This window comes from Homo sapiens, chromosome 4 (assembly GCF_000001405.40).
Source record: "Homo sapiens chromosome 4, GRCh38.p14 Primary Assembly".
Taxonomy (NCBI): Eukaryota; Metazoa; Chordata; class Mammalia; order Primates; family Hominidae; genus Homo; species Homo sapiens.
The window spans coordinates 55,929,344-55,950,289 of record NC_000004.12 but is presented as its reverse complement, the minus strand read 5'-3'; the positions used below and the strand labels follow the sequence as shown (position 1 = coordinate 55,950,289).

At 42.8% G+C, this 20,946-nt stretch overlaps 1 protein-coding gene and 1 long non-coding RNA gene across 13 annotated transcripts in view, besides 4 other annotated features; one reads left to right on the top strand and one right to left on the bottom strand.

The window, feature by feature from the left end:
* The window catches only part of CEP135 (centrosomal protein 135), an 84,417-nt gene extending 83,072 nt beyond the window's left edge, over window positions 1-1,345 (bottom strand). For both annotated transcript variants that reach the window (NM_025009.5, XM_006714055.4), the window contains exon 1: window positions 1,231-1,345. The gene's annotated coding sequence lies outside the window, so the exon portion shown is untranslated. The remainder of the gene's footprint in view (window positions 1-1,230) is intronic.
* Window positions 804-1,768: an enhancer, noted in NCBI's record as "OCT4-NANOG-H3K27ac hESC enhancer chr4:56814688-56815652 (GRCh37/hg19 assembly coordinates)". NCBI's record gives its function as "activates a minimal SCP1, AML or CMV promoter by ChIP-STARR-seq in primed H9 embryonic stem cells {active_cell/tissue: H9 hESC(primed)}" and the evidence as "EXISTENCE:reporter gene assay evidence [ECO:0000049][PMID:30033119]".
* Window positions 940-1,399: a silencer, noted in NCBI's record as "silent region_15447". NCBI's record gives its function as "represses an Ori minimal core promoter by ATAC-STARR-seq in GM12878 lymphoblastoid cells {active_cell/tissue: GM12878}" and the evidence as "EXISTENCE:reporter gene assay evidence [ECO:0000049][PMID:35858748]".
* Window positions 1,450-1,589: a silencer, noted in NCBI's record as "silent region_15446". NCBI's record gives its function as "represses an Ori minimal core promoter by ATAC-STARR-seq in GM12878 lymphoblastoid cells {active_cell/tissue: GM12878}" and the evidence as "EXISTENCE:reporter gene assay evidence [ECO:0000049][PMID:35858748]".
* The window catches only part of EXOC1-AS1 (EXOC1 antisense RNA 1), a 58,421-nt gene continuing 39,752 nt past the window's right edge, over window positions 2,278-20,946 (top strand). For 6 of the 11 annotated variants that reach the window (XR_941066.4, XR_941069.4, XR_941068.4 and 3 more), the window contains exons 1-3: window positions 2,278-2,450; window positions 9,658-9,773; window positions 11,335-11,433. This is a non-coding gene — a long non-coding RNA (EXOC1 antisense RNA 1). Of the gene's footprint in view, window positions 2,451-2,500; window positions 2,650-9,657; window positions 9,774-11,334; window positions 11,985-20,946 lie in introns of those variants that run through there. The other 5 variants (XR_007058123.1, XR_002959795.2, XR_001741696.2 and 2 more) reach the window with 4 other exon arrangements.
* Window positions 2,387-2,536: an enhancer, noted in NCBI's record as "active region_21575". NCBI's record gives its function as "activates an Ori minimal core promoter by ATAC-STARR-seq in GM12878 lymphoblastoid cells {active_cell/tissue: GM12878}" and the evidence as "EXISTENCE:reporter gene assay evidence [ECO:0000049][PMID:35858748]".

Here is a 20,946-nt window from a genome sequence, read left to right as displayed (position 1 = left end):
CTTAAACATGAGGAAAGGCTGCCTCAAGAAAGTAACTCTTCCAAAACCACGGGGCCACAAAGTAGGTGGGCAGTCATCAGAGACCAGGTCTCCTGAGTCTCTCCTTGGTCACTCCTTTCTGTATATCTTTCTCTTTGCTCTTGTTAACTTTTTTTGAATGGCTTCCTCATAGATTTCCTAGGTTCTTTCCACAAGAGACACCTAAGTGATGCAGGGTTTTTAGGGAAATTCCTGCAGACATCAGAAATACACCTGACAAATCCAGGTGTATTACTAGCAGGGTGTAAACTTACAGGCGGTGCACCACTCAAAACATTTCCCCTCTTTGCTACCAACTCCAGTTACCCAGAGATAATACCTCCTCACATCCTGCTTTGGAGGGGAGAGAATGAGAATGAATATGAATCAATAAATCATGGCCAGGGCCTCAATACACAGGACGGATTAAAATCCTCCCAGATAGAAACATGTTAGGCCGTCCCCACCCATGAACTGTTGTCTTTCCCCATAACCCCCATCCAAATATGGTGGCTATACTCTAAGTTTCTAGCAAAGCAACATAAAAGGTTAGGTTTGGGGGTCCCCCATACATATATGTGTAGAAGTATCCATCTACTTAACTCTGGGGGTTGGCGTCTCAAAACCAGTACATTTAATGCTGTATGTATGTGTGCACAGGGCTTAAGAAGATAAACAAGAAACCCCAAACGACAACAAAGAAACCCGTTAGCTGTGGTTATCTCAGAGTCCTTTCTTATTGAACTCAAAGTAGTAAAGGCTGGAAAGCAGTGGAGAGGCTTCAAAGGAGCTGGGCAAAGGTTAATTAAAGGCTGTCGTCCTACGCTTTGCGACATTTTTGTTACAAAGAGCATGGATGACTGCTACACTGAGAAGGCATTTTAATGTTTAAATCTATCCATTGGTCAACAGCAAGCCTGTCTGCACGGCCCACACAGACGCTCCTTGACGAGTCGGCCCAAGCTCTCCTCCACCCAATCTCCGGTTTGCAACTTTACCGTCGGGTGTTGACGGGAAGGGGGTGTGGGAGCGGGGTGGGTGGGAAGAGTCCCCGCGCCCCTCCCCGCCCGGTCTGACCCGGCCTGGCCTCACTTCCTCCCGCGGCCGCGCGGCCTCCCGGCAGTGCCCGAGCCCGGCCCGCGGGTACCGCCCAGAAGGCGAAGGCGCCACCACCGCCGCAGCTGGCCCTCTGGCTCCCACATCCGGACTCACCGGCAGCTCCAGCCGCCGTTGCCTCCGCCTCCAGCCGCATTGCCCTCAGGCCTCGAGTCCCCCACTAGCTCCTTCCGTCCAGGCACGGGCTCCGGCGCTAGAGCAGTTTGAAAATGGCGCGGAGGGACGATCGGGGCCGACACGGAGGAGGCGCCGCGGTTGCCCCGGTAACGGGAGCGGCGGACGATTAGCGGCTCGCGGCGGGGACGCGCTTGGCGACGATGGCGGAGCCCCAGTGCCCGGAAATGCAACGGCCCGGACAGCGCGAGGCCACGGCGCCCCCTGGAGGTCGGCGCCCGCGGCCAGCAAATGCCAAACCTCAGCTGGTGCCTGAGCTGGCATCCTCTTCCTCCTGTCGGCGGGAGGTGTGGATCACCTACTGCGTGCGGGGAACAAACGCCGCCCCAGTACCGGTCCCTGCAGCGGAGTAGCCTTCACCTGCAAGGTGAACGCCTGCTCACCACGTAATCCCCAAACGCAGATATCACGTTGTCTCTGCAACTTTCCCTGACAACCACCCAATGCAATTAATTATCCCACAATAGTATCTCCCGCAGGCTCTCTGTAGAACCATAGAATTCATCCATCAAAATACAATCATTTGTTGATCCGTCTCTCTCTGCCGCCCCCAAATGTGAATTCCTTGAGTCAGAGACTATTCTACTCAGCAAAACATTTGTGAGTGGAATTAAATTGAAATAAACCGTTATAGTCCACTCACAGATGGAAAACACATAGTAAAATCCTAGAATTCCATTTCTCCCCTGAAAATTTCCCAGACAGTCAGAGGGAGTTTCATTCTTTCCTGTTTACTTTTCTCCCAAATAGGCCTTCTGAGGCAGCAGAATAGGGAAGGAAGTCAGAAGACTGACCAGCTCATACCTATGGAATGCCTATCATACATACACTTAAAATTATGGCAAGCTCACGCAGGCGCACTAAGAGAGAAAAAACAAGAAAACAGATATGACAATTATAGGAAATCCCCTCCCTAGAGTTAAAGAAGTGTAGGAAGTGGGTATAAAAGAACAAAGGCTATATTAATCCAGGGCTGACACCACTTGAAGATAAGCCCGTTCCTCTCTCTGGTATATTCTTTGCTTAATAAATCTTGTGGGGTGGTTATTTGTGTGTCTCATCCAATTCTTTGTTCATAACACCAAGAACCTGGAACTCCCAACTTCCAATCTGGTAACATATTTTGGTGAGCCAGCCAGGAGGTAAGCCCAGAAGAACTGGGACTTTTTATTTTCTTTCTTTTTTGCTTCAGCTCTTTCACTTTGGTTTAAAGCTGCCTTCTGCTGGCACGGATTGGGCAGTTAAGAACGAAAAAGGCACTGGCCGCTTGAAGACTCCCATTGTTGCGGGAAAGCAGAGGACCAGAAAGACCAATGGGTGGAGCAGGAGGATTTTATTAAGGTGTGCACTGGCTCCGTGGATTTGCATCCAAAAAGCTGAGCCCTGAACAAAGACAGAGCTTGGCTTATATAGGCTAAATTAAAAAAGCAGAACCAAGGCAGTAAATCACACAGTGACAGGTTTTGTAATCTATAGCATAACTGCTGAAATTTGCATAACTTTTGGCTTTGCTTAGCTGGTGGCCTTGCAGCTGCGTCAAAAGAAAAACAGGAACCTACAAATCTTTCTAAACATAGGCAAAAATAATCATAATTAATGGTCTAAGGAAAGAGAAACAGTAAAGGAATTTGTTTTTCTTAACCATTGCTCAGGGGTGTTTGGAGCTCATTCCTGGCTTCTTAGACTAGGTCACCATGACCTTCCTATAGCCTTGCTTGTTACTATCCTTAGAGTGAGTAAATGCAGTACAAAACTTTCTTTAAATTCCTGCCTCAACGTGACAGGATAACCTGATTGGGGAATGGAACAGATGGGTCCCACGGGGTACAAGATCAATCCCTGCAACAGTGAGGTGCATGTTTGTGTGGCTATAATTATTACATTATTTGCTGCTTGTTTTTTTGTTTTTGTTTTTGTTTTTGTTTTTGTTTTTGTTTTGAGATGGAGTCTTGCTCTGTCACCCAGGCTGGAGTGCAGTGGCATGATCTCGGCTCACTGCAACCTTCACCTCCCGGGATCAAGCAATTCTCCTGCCTCAGCCTCCTGAGTAGCTGGGATTACAGGCACCCACCACCATGCCCGGCTAATTTTTGTATTTTTAGTAGAGACAGAGTTTCACCATGTTGGCCAGGGTGGTCTCGAACTCCTGACCTCAGGTGATCCGCCCACCTCGGCCTCCCGAAGTCCTGGTATTACAGGCATGAGCCACCATGCCCAGCCAGCCACCGTGCCCAGCCTTGCTGCTTGTTTTATTTTTTTTTTCTTTTCTTCATTTGTGTTGGGATATCATGTTTTGACCAATTAGAGATCTCCCCCCAACCCAAAGGGCCAGGACAACAGGTAACTGACTGTGGGGAGCCCAAGGATTAGCATCAGCCTGAAGATTAGGGCCAACCACCTGGATAATGAGAGTACCCTGCTTCTTCTGTGAGGGATCAGATCTAGATTGTTTTAGTTTAGTACATCTGGTGCTAAAAGAAAACTCCTGGTGGAGACTCTCGGATCATTGCATAAATTGCACAGTGGATCCATGGGGAAATTACTGTGCCTGGTTTATCTCATATAGTCAGAGGGCACTCTACTATCTTATTGAGAGGCCAGTCTCTAATAACAAATTTAAACTAGGCAGTCTGCAATTCCTTGCCCTTCAAACTAGAGTTACTACAATAATTAAGGAAACCATTTGGGAAGAAACTCTTTTGGCCAGCTACAGGGATACTAGAAGCCAAAGGTTACACCCAGGAACTAAAGGGAAACTTATCATAGGTCACCAATTATGGCAGGATCCTTCTTCAAATGGCACTGGTGCCCACTATGGCTAGAGACGTCTGGCACTCAGAGGACAGGTCCATTTGGGGGATGCCCAAATGGACCAAAATTACAGTCCAGATCCTTCAATAGGGGACACCCTTAAGGGAGACTCTAGATGTAAACTCATGAACCTATGAGACTCCTTTCATGCGCGTCCATGTGAAGAGACCACCAAACAGGTTTTGTGTGAGCAATAAGGCTGTTTATTTCACCTGGGTGCAGGCAGGCTGAGTCTGAAAAGAGAGTCAGCGAAAGGAGATAGGGGTGGGGCAGTTTTATAGGATTTGGGTAGGTAAAGGAAAATTACAGTCAAAGGGGTTATTCTGTGGTGGGCAGGAGTGGGGGTCGCAAGGTGCTCAGTGGGGGAGCTTTTTGAGCCAGGATGAGCCAGGAAAAGGACTTTCACAAGGTAATGTCATCACTTAAGACAAGGACTGGCCATTTTCACTTCTTTTGTGGTGGAATGTCATCAGTTAAGGCGGGGCAGGGTATTTTCACTTCTTTTGTGATTCTTCAGTTACTTTGGGCCATCTGGGCATATATGTGCAAGTCACAGGGGATTCAATGGCTTGGCTTGGGCTCAGAGGCCTGACAACTCCCTTCTTCTTTTCCACAGATTAGTGTTGGGAAACATTCCTTCAGTCCTATCTGACTCCCCTCTTGGCTGCATCTTCAATCATTGGAATCAATTTGACCCTGAAAACCTGTGAAAGAAATGCCTAATATTTTATTGTAACACCTTTTGGCCTCAATTTCAGCTAGGGAGTCAAGAGCAATGGCCAGTCAATGGAAGTCTCAATTATGACACCATCCTCCAATTAGAACTATTTTGTAAGAGACAAGGCAAATGGTCAGAAATACCATATGTGCAAGCCTTCATGGCCCTATACCAAAAGCCTACCATTTTCAAAGCTCCCAGCACTTCTCCACAGAAAGAAACTCCTAAAACTGAGCCGAATACTGTAGATAACCCCCTCTTGCAAGGGGTACATATGTGTCAGGGTGAACAATAGCCACCTTCCTATAATCCAGGTCCAAGTGCACTTGAAGCTTCAAAAGAAGGACAAGAGTCACGGGTCCTAGCGATCCCTCCCCATACTAGCTTAGGAACACCATATTCAATGACACCACCTGTCCTGCTACCTCTCAGAGAGGTGGCAGGAACTGAGGGTCCCATCAGGGTACAGGTCTCCTTCTTAATAACTGATATCCAACAATGTAAGGAAAAACTGGGCAGTTACTCAGAAATTTGCTGTTGGGTTCCAGACTTTGACTTTGGCTTTCAACCTTTCTTGGAGAGACATGCAATTCATTTTGGCCACCTGTTGCACACCTCTGGAAAAGGAATGAATATTTGAGGCTGCTCGCCAGGACACTGATGAACATTTTGCATGTAGCCTGCAGGGCAACAGATCGGGAGCAGATACAGTCCCTACTACTGAACCCATTTGGAAATATAATACCCCCATGAGAATGAATAATCAAACTAAATTTCTTGAGGCACCCCTGAGGGGAATGAAAAAAGGTGTAACAAAGGGAGTAAACTATGATAAGTTTAAGGAGATTACTCAGGGGAAAGAAGAGAATCCAACCATGTTTTACAGTAGACTAGAAGAAGCCTTTAAAATATATACAAACTTAGATCCTGCTTCTCCTGAAGGCAAGATATTAATGGCACAACATTTCATTAGTCACTCTACCCCAGACATTAGACATAAGCTCCAGAAGCTGCAAAGGGGGCCATAGACAAAACCAGTTCCTTGACACCATCTTTATGGTGTACAACAATCATGAACTGGAGGAAGGAAAAGGGGAACAGAGTAAAAAAAAACCCAGCAAGCCAGAATTATGGCAGCCATCATTAGTGATGCCTTGAATGCCCAAAGAGCATCCAAGGGAAACACAAAGGGCTACAAAGATAACGCTAGCAAAGACTCTTGCTTCAAGTGCAAAAAAAGATAGGCATTGGGCAAAGGACCATACTAAGCCTGCACTGGGCCCTTGCCATCAATGTGAAGGCACCAGTCATGACCGTTGGCACTGGCCAGTTGACTGCCCCTGCTCCCACCGAGGGGCTTGGTCAGTCAAAACTCTGGCAGTGTAAAAGGAGGAGTTAGATGAAGACTGAAGTGGCCTGGAGTCTTCCTCACTGTCCCTGTCCAGGAAAATCATCATTACTATTGAGGAGCCCCAGGTAACTCTGGACATCATGGGCACCCAAATTTAGTTTCTTTTTGATACAGCGGCAAATTACTCTGTCCTTATTGCTTGTGCAGGAAAACTTCCCTCCCAGTCCATGAATGTTATGGGAATGGAGGGGAAGCCAAAAATGAGATCCTTTGATCCTCCTTTAACTTGTCAATTTGAGAAGCAAATTTTCCAATAGGAGTTTCTAGTAATACCAAGCTGCCCAGTCCGCTTGTTAGGGGCAGATGTCATGGTTAAAATAGGGGAATTACTACAATATAAACACTGCCCAGCAGGATTGATGACAGTTGGGGAAATAAACAGTGTCCCAGACCCCATTAACAAACAGGTTAACCTACTAGCTTGGTATACCGGGAAACCAGGGAAAGCCAAAATGGCAAAGCCAGTCAAAATACAGCTTTAAAAGACTCCAGCTATTTTCCAAACTGAAAGTCATATCCAATCAAGCTGGAGGCCCATAATTCAGGAATTGCTAACTCATGAACTTTTAAAGCCTTGCAATTCACCTTGCAATACTCCCATTTTATCCATCTTAAAAACTTCAGGGGATATCAGCTAGTATAGGATCTCAGAATAATCAATGAAGCTGTTATCCCCATCCATCCATTGGTGGCAGATCCATACACTGTCTTGGCTCAGGTGCCACAGGATGCAAAATGGTTCTTGGTCCTAAAACTGAAAGATGCCTTCTTTTCCATTCCTCTGGCCCCAGAGTCTCAACACCTTTTTGCCTTTGAAAGGCAAAATCCAGATACCAAAGAAAAACAATACACTTGGACAGTGCTCCCTCAGGGCTTTTGGGATAGCACCCATTTCTTTGCTCAAACCCTATAAAGGGATTTTTATAGGGTTTTCCATTATTATTGGAAAATGGAAGCATACTTCAATATGTAGATGACCTTCTTGTGTGTAGCCCAACCCAGGAAGCATCTGACTAAAATACTGTAAAAGTTTTGAATTTCCTGGAAGACAGGGGATATAAAATGTCAAAGAAAAATTTCAAATCACCCTCCAATAAGTCCAATATATGGGCTATATTCTAAACCCTTGGGCCCAGCAGATATCCCCAGAAGAGGTATAAGTCATATGCAGTCTGGACCCCCTTATACCAAACAACAGCTCTGTTCCTTTTCAGGAATGGCGGGGTTCTGCAGGATATGGATACCAAATTTTGGGCTCATAGCAAAGCCCCTTTATGAAGCAACAAGGGGGCCATAAAATGAGTTAGTAGAATGGACTCCAGAAGTGAGGAAAGCCTTTGTCAAGTTAAAACAGGCATTTGGCCAAGCCCCCATTCTTGGCATCCCAGACCTCACTAAGCCCCTTTCCTTGCATGTAGCAGAAAAGAAGGGCACAGCTGTGGGGGTGCTAACCCAAAAATTGGGATCAGAACCCAGACCAACTGCTTATTTTTCCAAGAAATTGGACGTGTGAACTTGGGGTGGCCAGGCTGCCTGTAAGCAAAAACAGCTACTGCTATTTTAGTGGAATAAGACACTAAAATCACCCTAGGTCAACCACTGGAAATTTTAACACCACATCAGGTGAAATCAGTCTTGGAAATAAAAAGGTATATTTGGATGATGAGGAAAAGGTTAACCAAGTACCAGGTTATACTTCTAGACAATCCAGAGGTAATTCTTAAAACGCATAATACCCTGAATCCAGCTCTATTGCTGCCCACAGGCCCAATAATTGGTCATTCATGTGAGCAGGTCATCACACATACATATGTAAGCTGACCTGATTTAAAAGATTGGCCACTCCCAGACTCAGAGAATGACTGGTTCACAGATGGCAGCAGCTTTGCGTCAAATGGGAAATGCCAGGCTGGATATACAATAGTAAATGACAACACTATCACTGAAGTCCAACTGCTATCCCCAAGGCATGTCAGCACAAAAAGCTGAAATAATTGCTCTTATCTGAGTCCTGATATTGGGGAAAGGAAAAAAGCTTAATATCTGTACAGACTCCAAATATGTATTTCTTGTGGTTAAGGCTAATGCTGCAATTTGGAAAGAAAGAGGACTACTAACTAGGAACCACTCGCCTGTAGAGCATGGGCCTGAAATTCTCTAGTTGTTGGAGGCAATACATTTGCCAAAAGCCATTGCTATAATCCATTGTAGAGGGTATCAAAGGCCTTAGCTCCTATAGCACAAGGGAACAAAAAGACGGACAGGTAAGCAAAAGCAGTGGACTTCAAGGCGCAATCTCAAAAAATCTTAGCACTGCTTCCCTTCTATGATTCCCCAGTAGAACCTGAATACACATCACAGGAGGAACGGATTATAAGGGAGCAAGGGGGACAGAAACAAGGATCTTGGTAGTATATGGGATCAAAAGTATATATCCCTCAAGCAGCCCAATGGAAGGTTATTAGAAACCCTGCACAACTGTTTCCAGATGGGGAGAGATGCCACTCTGGCCATAGCAAACAGGGTCTTTATTGGGTCTAACTTAGCCTCAGTAGCTAAGCAGGTCTGTCAAGGCTGCTTGCTGTGTGCATTTAACAATCCAGGAAACAAGATCCCTCCACTAATGGAACCAGTCCAAAGAAGGGGAACTTACCCTGGGGAAGACTGGCATTTGGACTTTACCCATGAGCCAGCTTGCAGATGATACAAGTTTTTTGCTAATACTGATAGATACCTTTACAGGCTAAGTTGAAGCTTACCCTACTAGAGCAGAAAAGGCTAACGAAGGTGTAAAAGTCCTCTTAAAATAAATAATTCCACAGTTTGAGTTATCCCAAAGCCTCCAGAGTGATAACGGCCCATCCTTTGTCTCCCAGATAACTCAAGGGGTGGCTAAGGTGCTCAGAATTAAATACTATTTACGTTCAGCATGGAGACCTTAATCCTCCAGGAAAGTAGAAAGAGCTAATCAAACTCTAAAATGGGCACTAGCTAAACTATGCCAGGAAACATCAGAAACTTTGGTCAGTTTACTACCCGTACCCCTTTTGAGATTCTGTAACTCCTCAAGGGCAAAAGTAAATATGAGCCCATAGGAAATGCTGTGCTGGAGACCCTTCTTAACTAATGATCGAATAACTAATCCAGAAACATCTGGGCTAATAAAATACCTAATTAATCTGAGAAAATTTCAACAAGCATTACAAAGGTTCTGGAATGAAAGGCTTTCCATACGAGGAACTAACCAGCAACCCAAGATTAGGTCAGGAGATAGAGTACTTATTAAAACATGGAAAGAGGGGTCACCTGCTCAGCAGCTACAACCCAATGGAAGGGACCTTTTTAAGTTATAATAACCACCCTCTGCAGTTAACGTGTTAGGATTAAATAGTTGGATACATCTTTCCAGGGTCAAGCCTGCAATACCTAAAGCTCCAGACCTGGAACCCAAAGCTCCCATCAGTCGCTACCCTGTGAACCTGTGGAGGATCTGAAGTACCTGTTTAAAAGGCATCCAAAAGATAGGTAAATCCCTACTGACTTTGCTGGTGTCTTTGTTGCATAGTTACCGTGGAGTAAGTAATCCTAGTTATTTATATATATTTATCATTTAACTGCTTGCTTCCCCCACAATGGAACCACTTTTTATGTCCATAATCCTATTTTCACCAATATTGGGGGTCCAGCTTCAATACCAAGTGTTAAAACAGATTCAACAGTTAGCCACGCTAACTTAACTTCTTGTTACATTTGTACCTCAGGATCACTATCAGCTGAAGTTTTACCATTACCATTAGAAGATATAGTCAAGGTCAATGCCAGAGTCACTGTTGCCACCCAGTCAGAAGTTACATATCCCAGTCCAGCTGTGGAAAGCTTATTCCTAACAGTCTTATCTCAGATCATAAGAAACAACCCAAATTTAAATTTTACAAATGCCCCAAATCCTGTAAGGGTTTTTCACAACCTAACCTCAGACAGCCAATTCCCAATTTGTTTCACTTCCCACCAAACGAATGGGACCTTTCTGGGATCCCTAAACAATTGTTTATATGAGGTTGTCCTCAGTTGGACAAATCAAGAGAAACATTATAATTCCTCAGAAACAAAAATCAATTCATATTGCAAACTAGGAAAATAAAAACAATTCCTCCTCCTTAAGTATCCTGATCCAAGGCGACCTCAATATACAAGTAATACCAATTCTTCCAATATTTCCACTGGTTGGACCACAGTGTTAATCAACAATTCATCTTTGCCTCTAGCTCAAGCTTTGGCTTGGGGGGTCCAAAGATCATTCTTAAAATTCCACCTCGGCTTATCTTTCCACTCTAGGCTTAATGCATAACTTGCTGTGGCTGGAACACTTTTATGGGAACAACTCACTGGAACTTCCTCTAGTGGCTCAGACACACCTTTGGAACTAGCATCATGGGGATATGAAGTATCTTTGGACCCTGGGCAAGAGTTTATTTCATATGTGGAAATTCAGGGTACATGAGTCTTCTGAGCCAATGGAAAGGGACTTGCGGCATCACTGCTTTACTTCCAAGACTGTCTTATGCAAATGCTAGTACAAAATTCCCATTCCATATAAGACACAGCCATGCATTTGTAAAAAGGGCAGTTCCAGCAGTATTACATCCTTTAGCAACTGCAATAACAGGACTTTTAGGAACCACACTTGGGTCCATTTCTCTTCACTTGTCTTCACAACAAACACAGGCTTTGGCAGAAATTACAGCAGCTATCCAAGAACAATGACATATAGATTCCCAGGCAGGCATTGTCTTACAAAACAGGAGGGGGCTAGGTCTCCTCGAAGCTAATCGGAGGGGATTATGCATTTTTCGAAAAGAAGAATGTTGTTTCTATATTAACTCCTCAGGCAAGGTAGTGGGACATCTGACTGAGGCAACTAATATAACCAATTTATGAACTGCACAAAACACCCTAAATTCTGTTTAAACAACTGCAAAAAGTTGGATAGCCCATTTTACAGGACCCTTAACTGTAATTCTTCGGTTGTTCATTTTTGGCCCTTACACTGTAAATTTGCTAACCAGATTTATTTCTTCATGTTTAGAATCTATCAAGCTACAAATGGCTATGTTGCCTGAAGCCCCAGACATCATCCTACAAGAAATAAGTCCAGACTTCTTAATTTCCCCCTGGATAGAGCAGGGTAAGAGTTCTGTGGTCCCCTGTTAGGTGGGGCCAGCAGTCCCACTCAGCTGGAAGCAAGTATAGAAGAAAGAACTTCAACCCTCAGCAACCTATTATGATTTATGGGGATCACATCTCTCAGAGGGAATTGAGGCAGGAGAATAGGGAAGGAAGTCAGAAAATCAACCTGCAGCCTTTTCTCACCAAAACAAGCATAAGGCACCATCTGATAAGGAAGCTGAAGCAATGAACCAATGCTTTCTGCAGTAAACAAATCTGGTATAACCTTTTATTATAATAAGTTACTTAAAGCCCATACATATGGAATGCATATCATACATACACTTAAAATTATGGAATGGCAAGCACATGCAGGCGCACTGAGAGAGAAAACCAACAAGAAAACTGATATGTCAATTATAGGCAACCTCCTCCCTAAAAGTTAAGTAAGAGTAGTAAGGTGGTATAAAAGAACAAAGGCTATGTTAACCCAGGGCTGATACCACTCGCGGATCAGCCCATTCTTCTCTCTGGAACATTCTTTGCTTAATACATCTTGTGGGGTCATTATTTGTGTGTCTCCTCCAATTCTTTGTTTGCAACACCAAGAACCTGGAAATCCAACTTCCAATCTGGTAACACTTCTACTCTAAAAATGTGCTTACTCTTTGTATAGCATGTAACTGCTCTATTGGTTGTACCCATTCATATATTAATGTTTCCACTTTTTATGCCTCCTCTGTTTTTCTCATGCCTTAATGAGCTGTTTTATGGAATTTCTAGGAGGCAATGAGTTGAGTTCTATAGATGACTTTTGTACATCTTGCACATGTACAATTTAACACTTTTTTGTGAACAACAGATATCTTTTTTGAAAAGAGGTAGTCATAGATTAATATCATAGCAAAATGGCTGTGCAACGGCCATCCAGTCAAGATTACTCTTTAGCTTCCCTTTGCCCCAAGCACATACCAATTAGAAAATGTAAAAATAAAACCCAAAAAAGAAATGCAAAAAGGTGAGTAGGATGAAAGCCATTAGTGAGCTTTGTTCCAAGTGACATGGAAGACCAGAGTCAAGGTCACTGCTGAACTTCAAGGCCTGAGGTCAGGGTCCCTGGATGTTTTAGGCAGTTCTCACATTGCTATAAAGAAATACCTGAGACTGGGTAATTTAAAAAGAAAAGAGGTTCAACTGACTTACTAGCAAACTGAATTCAACAACACATTTAAAAGATCATTACGACCAAATGGGATTTACCCCAGGGATGCAAGGATGGTTCAACATATGCAAATCAATGTGATACATCACATTAACAGAATGAAGGACAAAAACTATATGATTATTTCAGTTGATGCTGAAAAAGCACTTGATAAAATTCAATATCCCTTCATGGAAACCCTCAAAGGGCCAGGCACAGTGGCTCACACCTGTAATCCCAGCACTTTGGTAGGCTGAGGTGGGCAGATTGCTTGAGCCCAAGAGTTGGAGACCAGCCTGCACAACAAGGTGAAATCCCATCTCTACAAAAAAATACAAAAGTTAGCCAGGTGTGATGGTACACACCTGTAGTCCCAGCTACTTGGGAAGCCGAGATGAGAGGATTGCTTCAGGTCAGGAGGTCAAGGCTTCAGTGAAGAGATCACACCACTGCATTCCAGCCTGGGCAACAAAGTGAGACCCTTTCTCAAAAAAGAATCTCAAAAAACTGGGTATAGAAGGAACTACCTTTACATAATAAAAGCCACAGCTTGTATCATACTAAAAGAGAGAAAAAACCTTTCCTGTAAGATCTAGAACATGACAAGGATGCCCTCTTTCACCACTGTTGTTCAACATAGTGCTGGAAGTCTTAGCTAGAGAATTTCAGAGAAGAGAACAAAATAAAGAGCATTCAAATCGGAAATGAAGAGGTCAAATTATCCTTGTTTGCAGATGATATGATCTTATATTTGGAAAAACCTAAAGACTCCACCAAAAAAGTATTAGAACTGATAAATTCAGTAAAGCTGTGTGATACAAAATCAACTTATGAAAATCAGTAGCATTTCCACATGCCAACAGTGAACAATCTAAAAAAGAATTTTAAAAGTTATCCCACTTACAATAGCTACAAATAAAATTAGATACCTAGGAATTACCTTAATTAAAGAAGTGAAAGATTGCTACAATTCAAAACTATAAAACATGTGATGAAAGAAATTGAAGAGGACACACAAAAATGGAAGGATATTCCATGTTCATGAATTGGAAGAATAAATATTGTTAAAATGTCCATAATACTTAAAGTAATCTAAAATTCAGCCCCTGATATTCAACGTGGGTCCTTTTCTATTTTCCCTAAGTGATGGCCAGTCTGAGAAATAAAGGGAAAGAGTACAAAAGAGAGAAATTTTAAAGCTGGGTGTCCAGGGGAGACATCACATGTCGGCAGTTTCCATGATGCCCCCCAAGCTGCAAAACCAGCAAGTTTTTATTAGTGATTTCCAAAGGGGAGGGAGTGTACAAATAGGGTGTGGGTCACAGAGATCTCATGCTTCACAAGGTAATAAAATATTACAAGGCAAATGGAGGCAGGGTGAGATCACAGGACTGGGGTGAAATTAAAATTGCTAATGAAGTTTCGGGCATGCATTGTCATTGATAACATCTTATCAGGAGACAGGGTTTGAGAGCAGACAACCGGTCTGATCAAAATTTATTAGGTGGGAATTTCCTCATCCTAATAAGCCTGGGAGCGCTACGCGAGACCGGGGCTTATTTCTTCCCTTATCTACAACTGTAAAAGACAGACATTCCCAGAGCAGCCATTTCAGAGACCTCCTCCTAGGAATGCATTCTCTTTCTCAGGGCTATTTCTTGCTGAGAAAATGAATTCAGTGATATTTCTCCTATTTGCTTTTGAAAAAAGAGAAATATGGCTTTGTTCTGCCCAGCTTTCAGGCAGCCAGACCTAATGGTTGTCTCCCTTGTTCCCTGAACATTGCTGTTATCCTGTTCTTTTTTCAAGGTGCCCAGATTTCATATTGTTTAAACAATTTGTGCAGTTAACCCAATCATCACAGGGTCCTGAGGCAACATACATCCTCAGCTTATGAAGATGACAGGATTAAGAGATTAAAGTAAAGACAGGCATAGGAAATCACAAGAGTATTGATTGGGGAGTGATAAATGTCCATGAAATCTTCACAATTTATGTTCAGAGATTGCAGTAAAGACAGGCATAAGAAATTGTAAAAGTATTAATTTGGGGAACTAATAAATGCCCATGAAATCTTCACAATTTATGTTCTTCTACCATGGCTTCAGCCAGTCCCTCCGTTCGGGGTCCCTGAATTCCCACAACACAGATTCAATGCAATCTCTGTCAAAATATCAATAACATTCTGCACAGAAATTTTTAAAAATCCTAAAATTGATATGGAACCACAAAAGACCCAGAGTAGCCAAAGCTATCCTGAGCAAAAAGAACAAAACTGGAGGAATCACATTACTTGATTTCAGATAATACTACAGAGGTATAGTAACCAAAATGGCATAGTACTGGCATAAAAATAGACCAATGGAACAGAACAGAGAATGCAGAAACAAATCCATACATCCAGAGTGAACTCATTTTTGACAAAGGTGCCAATAACATGCATTGGGGAAAGGACAGTCTCTTCAGTAAATGGTGCTGGGAAAACTGGATATCCATATGCAGAATGAAACTAGACCACTATCTCTCCTCATATACAAAAATCAAATCAAAATGGATTAAAGACATATCTAACTCCTAGAACTATGAAACTACTACAAGAAAACATTGGGGAAACTCTCCAGGACATTGGACTAGGCAAAGATTTCTTGAGTAATACTCCAAAAACACAGGCAACCAAAGCAAAAATATAAAATAGGTTCACATCAAGTTAAAAAGCTTCTGCACAGCAAAAGAAACCATCAACAAAGAGGCAACCTGCAGAATGGGAGAAAATATTTGCAAACTACCATCTGACAAGGGATTAATAACAGAAACTATAAGGAGCTCAAACAACTCTAAAGGAAAAATATAATAATCCAATTTAAAAAATGAGCAAAAGATCTGAATAGACACTTCTCAAAAGATGACATACAAATGGCAGACAGGTATATGAAATTGATCATCAGAGAAATGCAAATCAAAGCTACAATGAGATATCATCTCACTCCAGTTAAAATGGTTTCTATCCAAAAGTGAGACAATAATAAATGCTGGAGAGGATATGGAGAAAAGGGACCCTCGTACACTATATTTGGGAATGTAAATCAGTACAACCACTGTGGAGAAGTTTGGAGATGCCTCCAAAAACTAAAAATAGAGCTACCATATGATCTAGCAACCCCACTGCCAGGTATATTCCTAAAAGAAAGGAAATCAGTATATCAAAGAGATATCTGCACTCCTATGCTTATTGCAGCACTATTCATAGTAGCCAAGATTTGAAAGTAACCTAAATGTTCATCAGCAGATGAATGGATAAAGAAAATGTGGTACATATACACAATGGAATACTATTCAGCCATAAAAAAGAATGAGATTCTGTCATTTGCAACAACATGGATGGAACTGGAGGCCACTGTGTTAAGATAAGCCAGGCAGAGAAAGACAAACTTTGTATGTTCTCACTTATTTGTGGGAGCTAAAACTTAAAACCATTGAACTCGTGGAGATAGAGAGTAGAAAGATGGTTCACTTCAAAACAAAACAAAACAAAACAAACAAAAGCAGTGAAGTATAAGAAGGACTTGATGAAAAAAAAGGACATAACAAGCTGGCTTACTGGCTCAAAAATGGAAGGGGCAGTCTGAGGGGAATGCAAACATCCTAGAGGGGCTGAGAGAGAGCCTGTTCACAGCCAGCAACTGTTAACTGAACCTTAGCCCTACAGCTGTAGGAAATGAATTCCTTACACCAATCTGAATGAGCAGGCCCTACCCCAGATTCTCTTATCTCTAGATAAGAGCCCAGGCACTTTGATTTAGGGAGCAGAGCCCACCTAGAGAGTTCTGACCTGCAGAACTATGATATAATACCTGTGGGTTGTTCTAAACTGCTAAGGTTGGGGTGATTTGTTTTTGTAGCAACAGAAAAACAAATATAGCTGAGAAGTCAGGCTTGAAGAGATAACAGCTAAGAATTTTCCGGAAGTGAATCAAGGCACAAATCTTCCGATAAAAGTTTGCACCATCTAACTAAGGAGAGCAGGTTAAACATACACAGTTATTTCAGCTCTCTCCCTCCTTCACTCCCCTAAAACTACAATAAAGGGCTTATTTATTTATTTGACAGAGTCTTGCTCTGTCGCTCAGGCTGCAGTGCAGTGGCACAATCTCTGCAACCTGCCTGCTCCTGGGCTCAAGTGATTCTCCTGCCTCAGCCTCCCGAGTAGCTGGGACCACAGGAGTGTGCCACCATGACTGGCTAATTTTTGTATTTTTTGTAGAGATGGGGTTTCACCATGTTGCCCAAGCTAGTCTCCAACTCCTGGGCTCCAGTGAGTCACCTGCCTCAGCCTCCCAAAGTGCTGGGATTACAGGCATGAGACACCACACCCGGCCAATAAAGGAATTTTTAAGGTGCTTTTTAAAAACCATCAGGTCAAAGAGATTGTAGAGAAGACAATATCAATACAATTTGAGGACTGCATAGCAGAAGGACAGCTGGAAACTGACTTAGCTCAGAAAATTTTGAATCTCATCCAGCAGTGGGAAAAGCTCAGGAGCAACCTAACGACTCTGTAGAAACCTCAAAAGGCACAGGTGGCACCAGGTAGCTCTGGAAGTGGAAATGAAGTGGGGCTAAAAGCAGCAGGATTGTCTCCGGTGGAGTGTTTCCCACCGTCTTCTGCTGTAGAGAATCGTGAGCTGGTTCCATGCAGTTTCACCTTAGGCATGGGTGGATGCTTTCCTTCCCCACCTTCACGACTTCTGCAGGTGCCCCCAGCAGGAAGGATCCATGGCAGGCTGAGCAAACTCTCTGGGCACAGACAGGCATTATTCATGCCGGACATCAACAAGCTCTTTTCTGGCTGCTATCAATGTGGTCTTCTCTAGGGAACAATAAGAAAGATAGATGATGACGCTCCTAGACACTGTGATAGAAATGCGTAGGCTAACTTGTCTCCCCAGACTAACCTGTCTTCCAGCAGCTCCTTGGCATTTGCTTGCTCAGGGTGTGGGGTGTGAAAGGCAGGAATTTCCTGGGCCAGAGCTGATTCCATCAGTGCATGGCCCAGCTGATTCCAACCTGACTTATGCTGATTCCATCAGTGTATCTGGTCCCTTCCCTACTTTTCCTCCTTGTATTAGTTTCCTCAAGCTGCTGTTAACAATGATCACAAATGGGCTGGGCACAGTGGTTCATGCCTGAAATCCCAGCAGTTTGGGAGGCTGAGGTGGGAGGACTGCTTAAGCCCAAGAGTTCGAGACCAGCCTGGGCAATAAAATAGGAACCTATCTCTACAAAATAAAAAAGAATTAGCCAGGTGTGGTGGCACATGCCTGTAGTCCCAGCTACTCAGGAGGCTTGGGCAGGAGGAGAGCTTGAGCCCAGGAGGTTGAGGCTTCAGTGAGCTGTGATCAAGCCACTGCACCCCACCCTGGGACTTTAAAGTTTATCTCTAAATACCTCAGAATATCACCTCATTTGGAAATAAGGTCATTGCAGCTTTAATTTGTTAAGATGAGGTCATACTGGAGTAGAGTGGGCCCCTAATCCAATATGACCGGTATCCTTATAAAAAGAACACCACCATGTAAAGAGATAGAGGGAAGATCATGCAAACACAGGGAGAATGTCATCTACTAGGAATGCCAAAATTGCCAGCAAACCACCAGAAGCCAGGAGAAAGGCATGGAACAGATTCTCCCTCACAGCCCTCAGAAAGAATCAACCCTGATAACACATTGATCTCAGAAAGCAAGCCTCCAGAAATGTATTGTTTCACAATACATTTCTGTTGGTTAAGCCGCCCTGGCAATCTGATACATATATGCTTAAATACCCGTTAAGGCCACAGAATAAATATTTTAGGAATTCAGAAAAGAAAAAGACGCTCTGAAGACCTTCAGAGGAAGGTCTGATATGAAGACCTCAGCATAAAACTGAGCTACTTCTCAGTTTTATGGAGTAGATAAGACTTGGAGTTGGACCTTGAAATGACTAGAACTTGGATGCATAAAGAAGAGGAAGCAAGAGATGTGGGGATGGAAGAAAGGGAGGAGAGGAGATAACAGGATGGGAAAAAATGATAGGGAAGAATGTTTTTCTCAATAATAAATACAGCCATCTGATGGGGCCAGGGACAAGCAGAATGGCATAGATAATGACAAGACTGAAAATAAAAAGTGAAGTCAGATGACTAAAGGACCCACCAAATATTAGATTTCAGAGCTTGAATTTTATCCAATATGTAATGGAGAATTATTGACCTTTTAAAGCTGGAAAATGACATGAAGAAATTAGTTTGCGGGAAATATATCTGGGTAGTAGAAGCATGGAATGGTGAATAGTGACTGGTGCAGAAAACAATGTTATCTAGGACAAGAGTCAGAAGATTTTTTTAATGACATGATAAAGGTCTGAAGGAAACGTGCAAAATATTACAAAGGAAGAATGGGCAGGGCTTAGTGAGGGAAGGGCCTCTGTGAGTGGAGGGGAAGGAATCCAGATAAACATCAAGGTTTAGAGTTTCAGAGACTGAAGACCCTGAGATGGCATAATCAGGAAGCTATCTTGTTGGTGTGGCAGAGGGGCTGGAAAGGGACAGGGGACCAATAGTAAGTTTGGTTTGTGATATAAGGTGCTGAAGGTGATATAACAGCAATGTCTGGGATATAGTTGGGTGTGTGCACATAATATGTAACAGAAATTAACAGAGAGAAATCAAGTTCCTTTTTCTTAGGTTTCTTCTCTGTATTTTTAAGACAGTCTGTGTATTTGGATGTTGTTTACTGTAGTCACTGATGATCCTGTTTCTCCCATTAGACTGTGAGCTCTTTAAGGGACAAAACAGCTTCTTTGTACCCATAACCGAAGCAGACTATCTGGCCTTAATAGAAGATCAGGAAATGTGAATTGAATTGAATCGCACTGCACTGAAGTAAATGAATCAAGCCTTCTGACACAAAGTCCAGTATTCTCTCCAGTATAACACAGTTGCTTCCCTGTAGTGACTAGGCCAGAGATGAATCTAAAATGTCAGTGTTACTGCCAGCTAATTCAGGGCCTTTTATTTAAGCAGCAGGGACTCAATTTCCCTATTCCATAGGTGTACGGTTTGACTGGCAACCTGATTACTTGGCAGGTAAAGAAAATGGTTACAATAGTTCCAGCCTGTCTGGAGCCTTGTAGTGGAGCCTCTGTAGTACCTTGGCTACAAAAGACACTCAAGCTGTGTAAATGATCAGATGTTATGAGAAGCTATTCTTTAGTAGCAGAGACACTGGAAAATTATATCAAGAAAGGGTCCCTTTTAAAAGCACAGCGCTGAAGCATCTTGATGATGTAGCAGTTTGTGTGTCTACAACAACAGCAGACATTTTCATTTCATAATGATAGCGCAAGGAATTATACCTTTTAATCACTTTTTGGTGTCAGTAAGAAATAGAGGTAGAGGTTCACGACCTTTGTATGAATCAAAGACTTGATGAACACTACTATATTAAAAACAACAGGCTGGGCACAGTGGCTTAGGCATTTTGGGAAGCCAAGACAGGTAGATTGCTTGAGCCCAGGAGATCGAGACAAGCCTGGGCAACATAGAGAGATTCCATCCCTACATAAAATAAAAAAATTATTAGGCTAGTGCAAAAGTAATTGCGGTTTTGCTATTTTAATGGCAAAAACCGCAGTTACTTTTGCACCAACCTAAAAGCTGTGTGCAGCTGCTTGGGAGGCTGAGGTGGGAGGATCACCTGAGCCTGGGGAGGTTGAGGCTACAGTGAGCCAGGATTGTGCCACTGCACTTCAGCCTGGGCAATAGAGAGCGACCCTATGTAAAAAAATAAAATCAATAAAAATATTAGAACAACAAGCCTGCTTCACGTCAAAAGGTCTATGATCAAAAGACAAAGAATAAGCCAGGAAAATATTTGCAACTAATATCGTAAACCTAATATAGAAAGAGATCCTATAAATTGACAGTAAAATGACTAACAAATAGTAGAATAAATTAGAAAAATAATTTAACAGTAGGCACAAGTATGAAAATATAATTTGCCAAATGGCTCTTTACCATAAGAAGAGACTCAAACTCACTGGAAATAAGAGGCATATAAATGAAAACTAAGTGAGATGTGAAGGGTGAGTAGGTAGCCAAGTGAAAGAAGGATGGAGACAGACAAGAAGCTAAGAGACTAATAAACTAATCATAGCCATTGTGTATTACTGGGTTCTAGTGAGTGCTGCTTTACACAATTCATGTTTTACAAGTACCATTTCATTTAATCTCCATAAGAGGCCTAAAAGTAGGAAGTATTGGTTTCACAATGTTACAGGTGGGATTAAGTAATT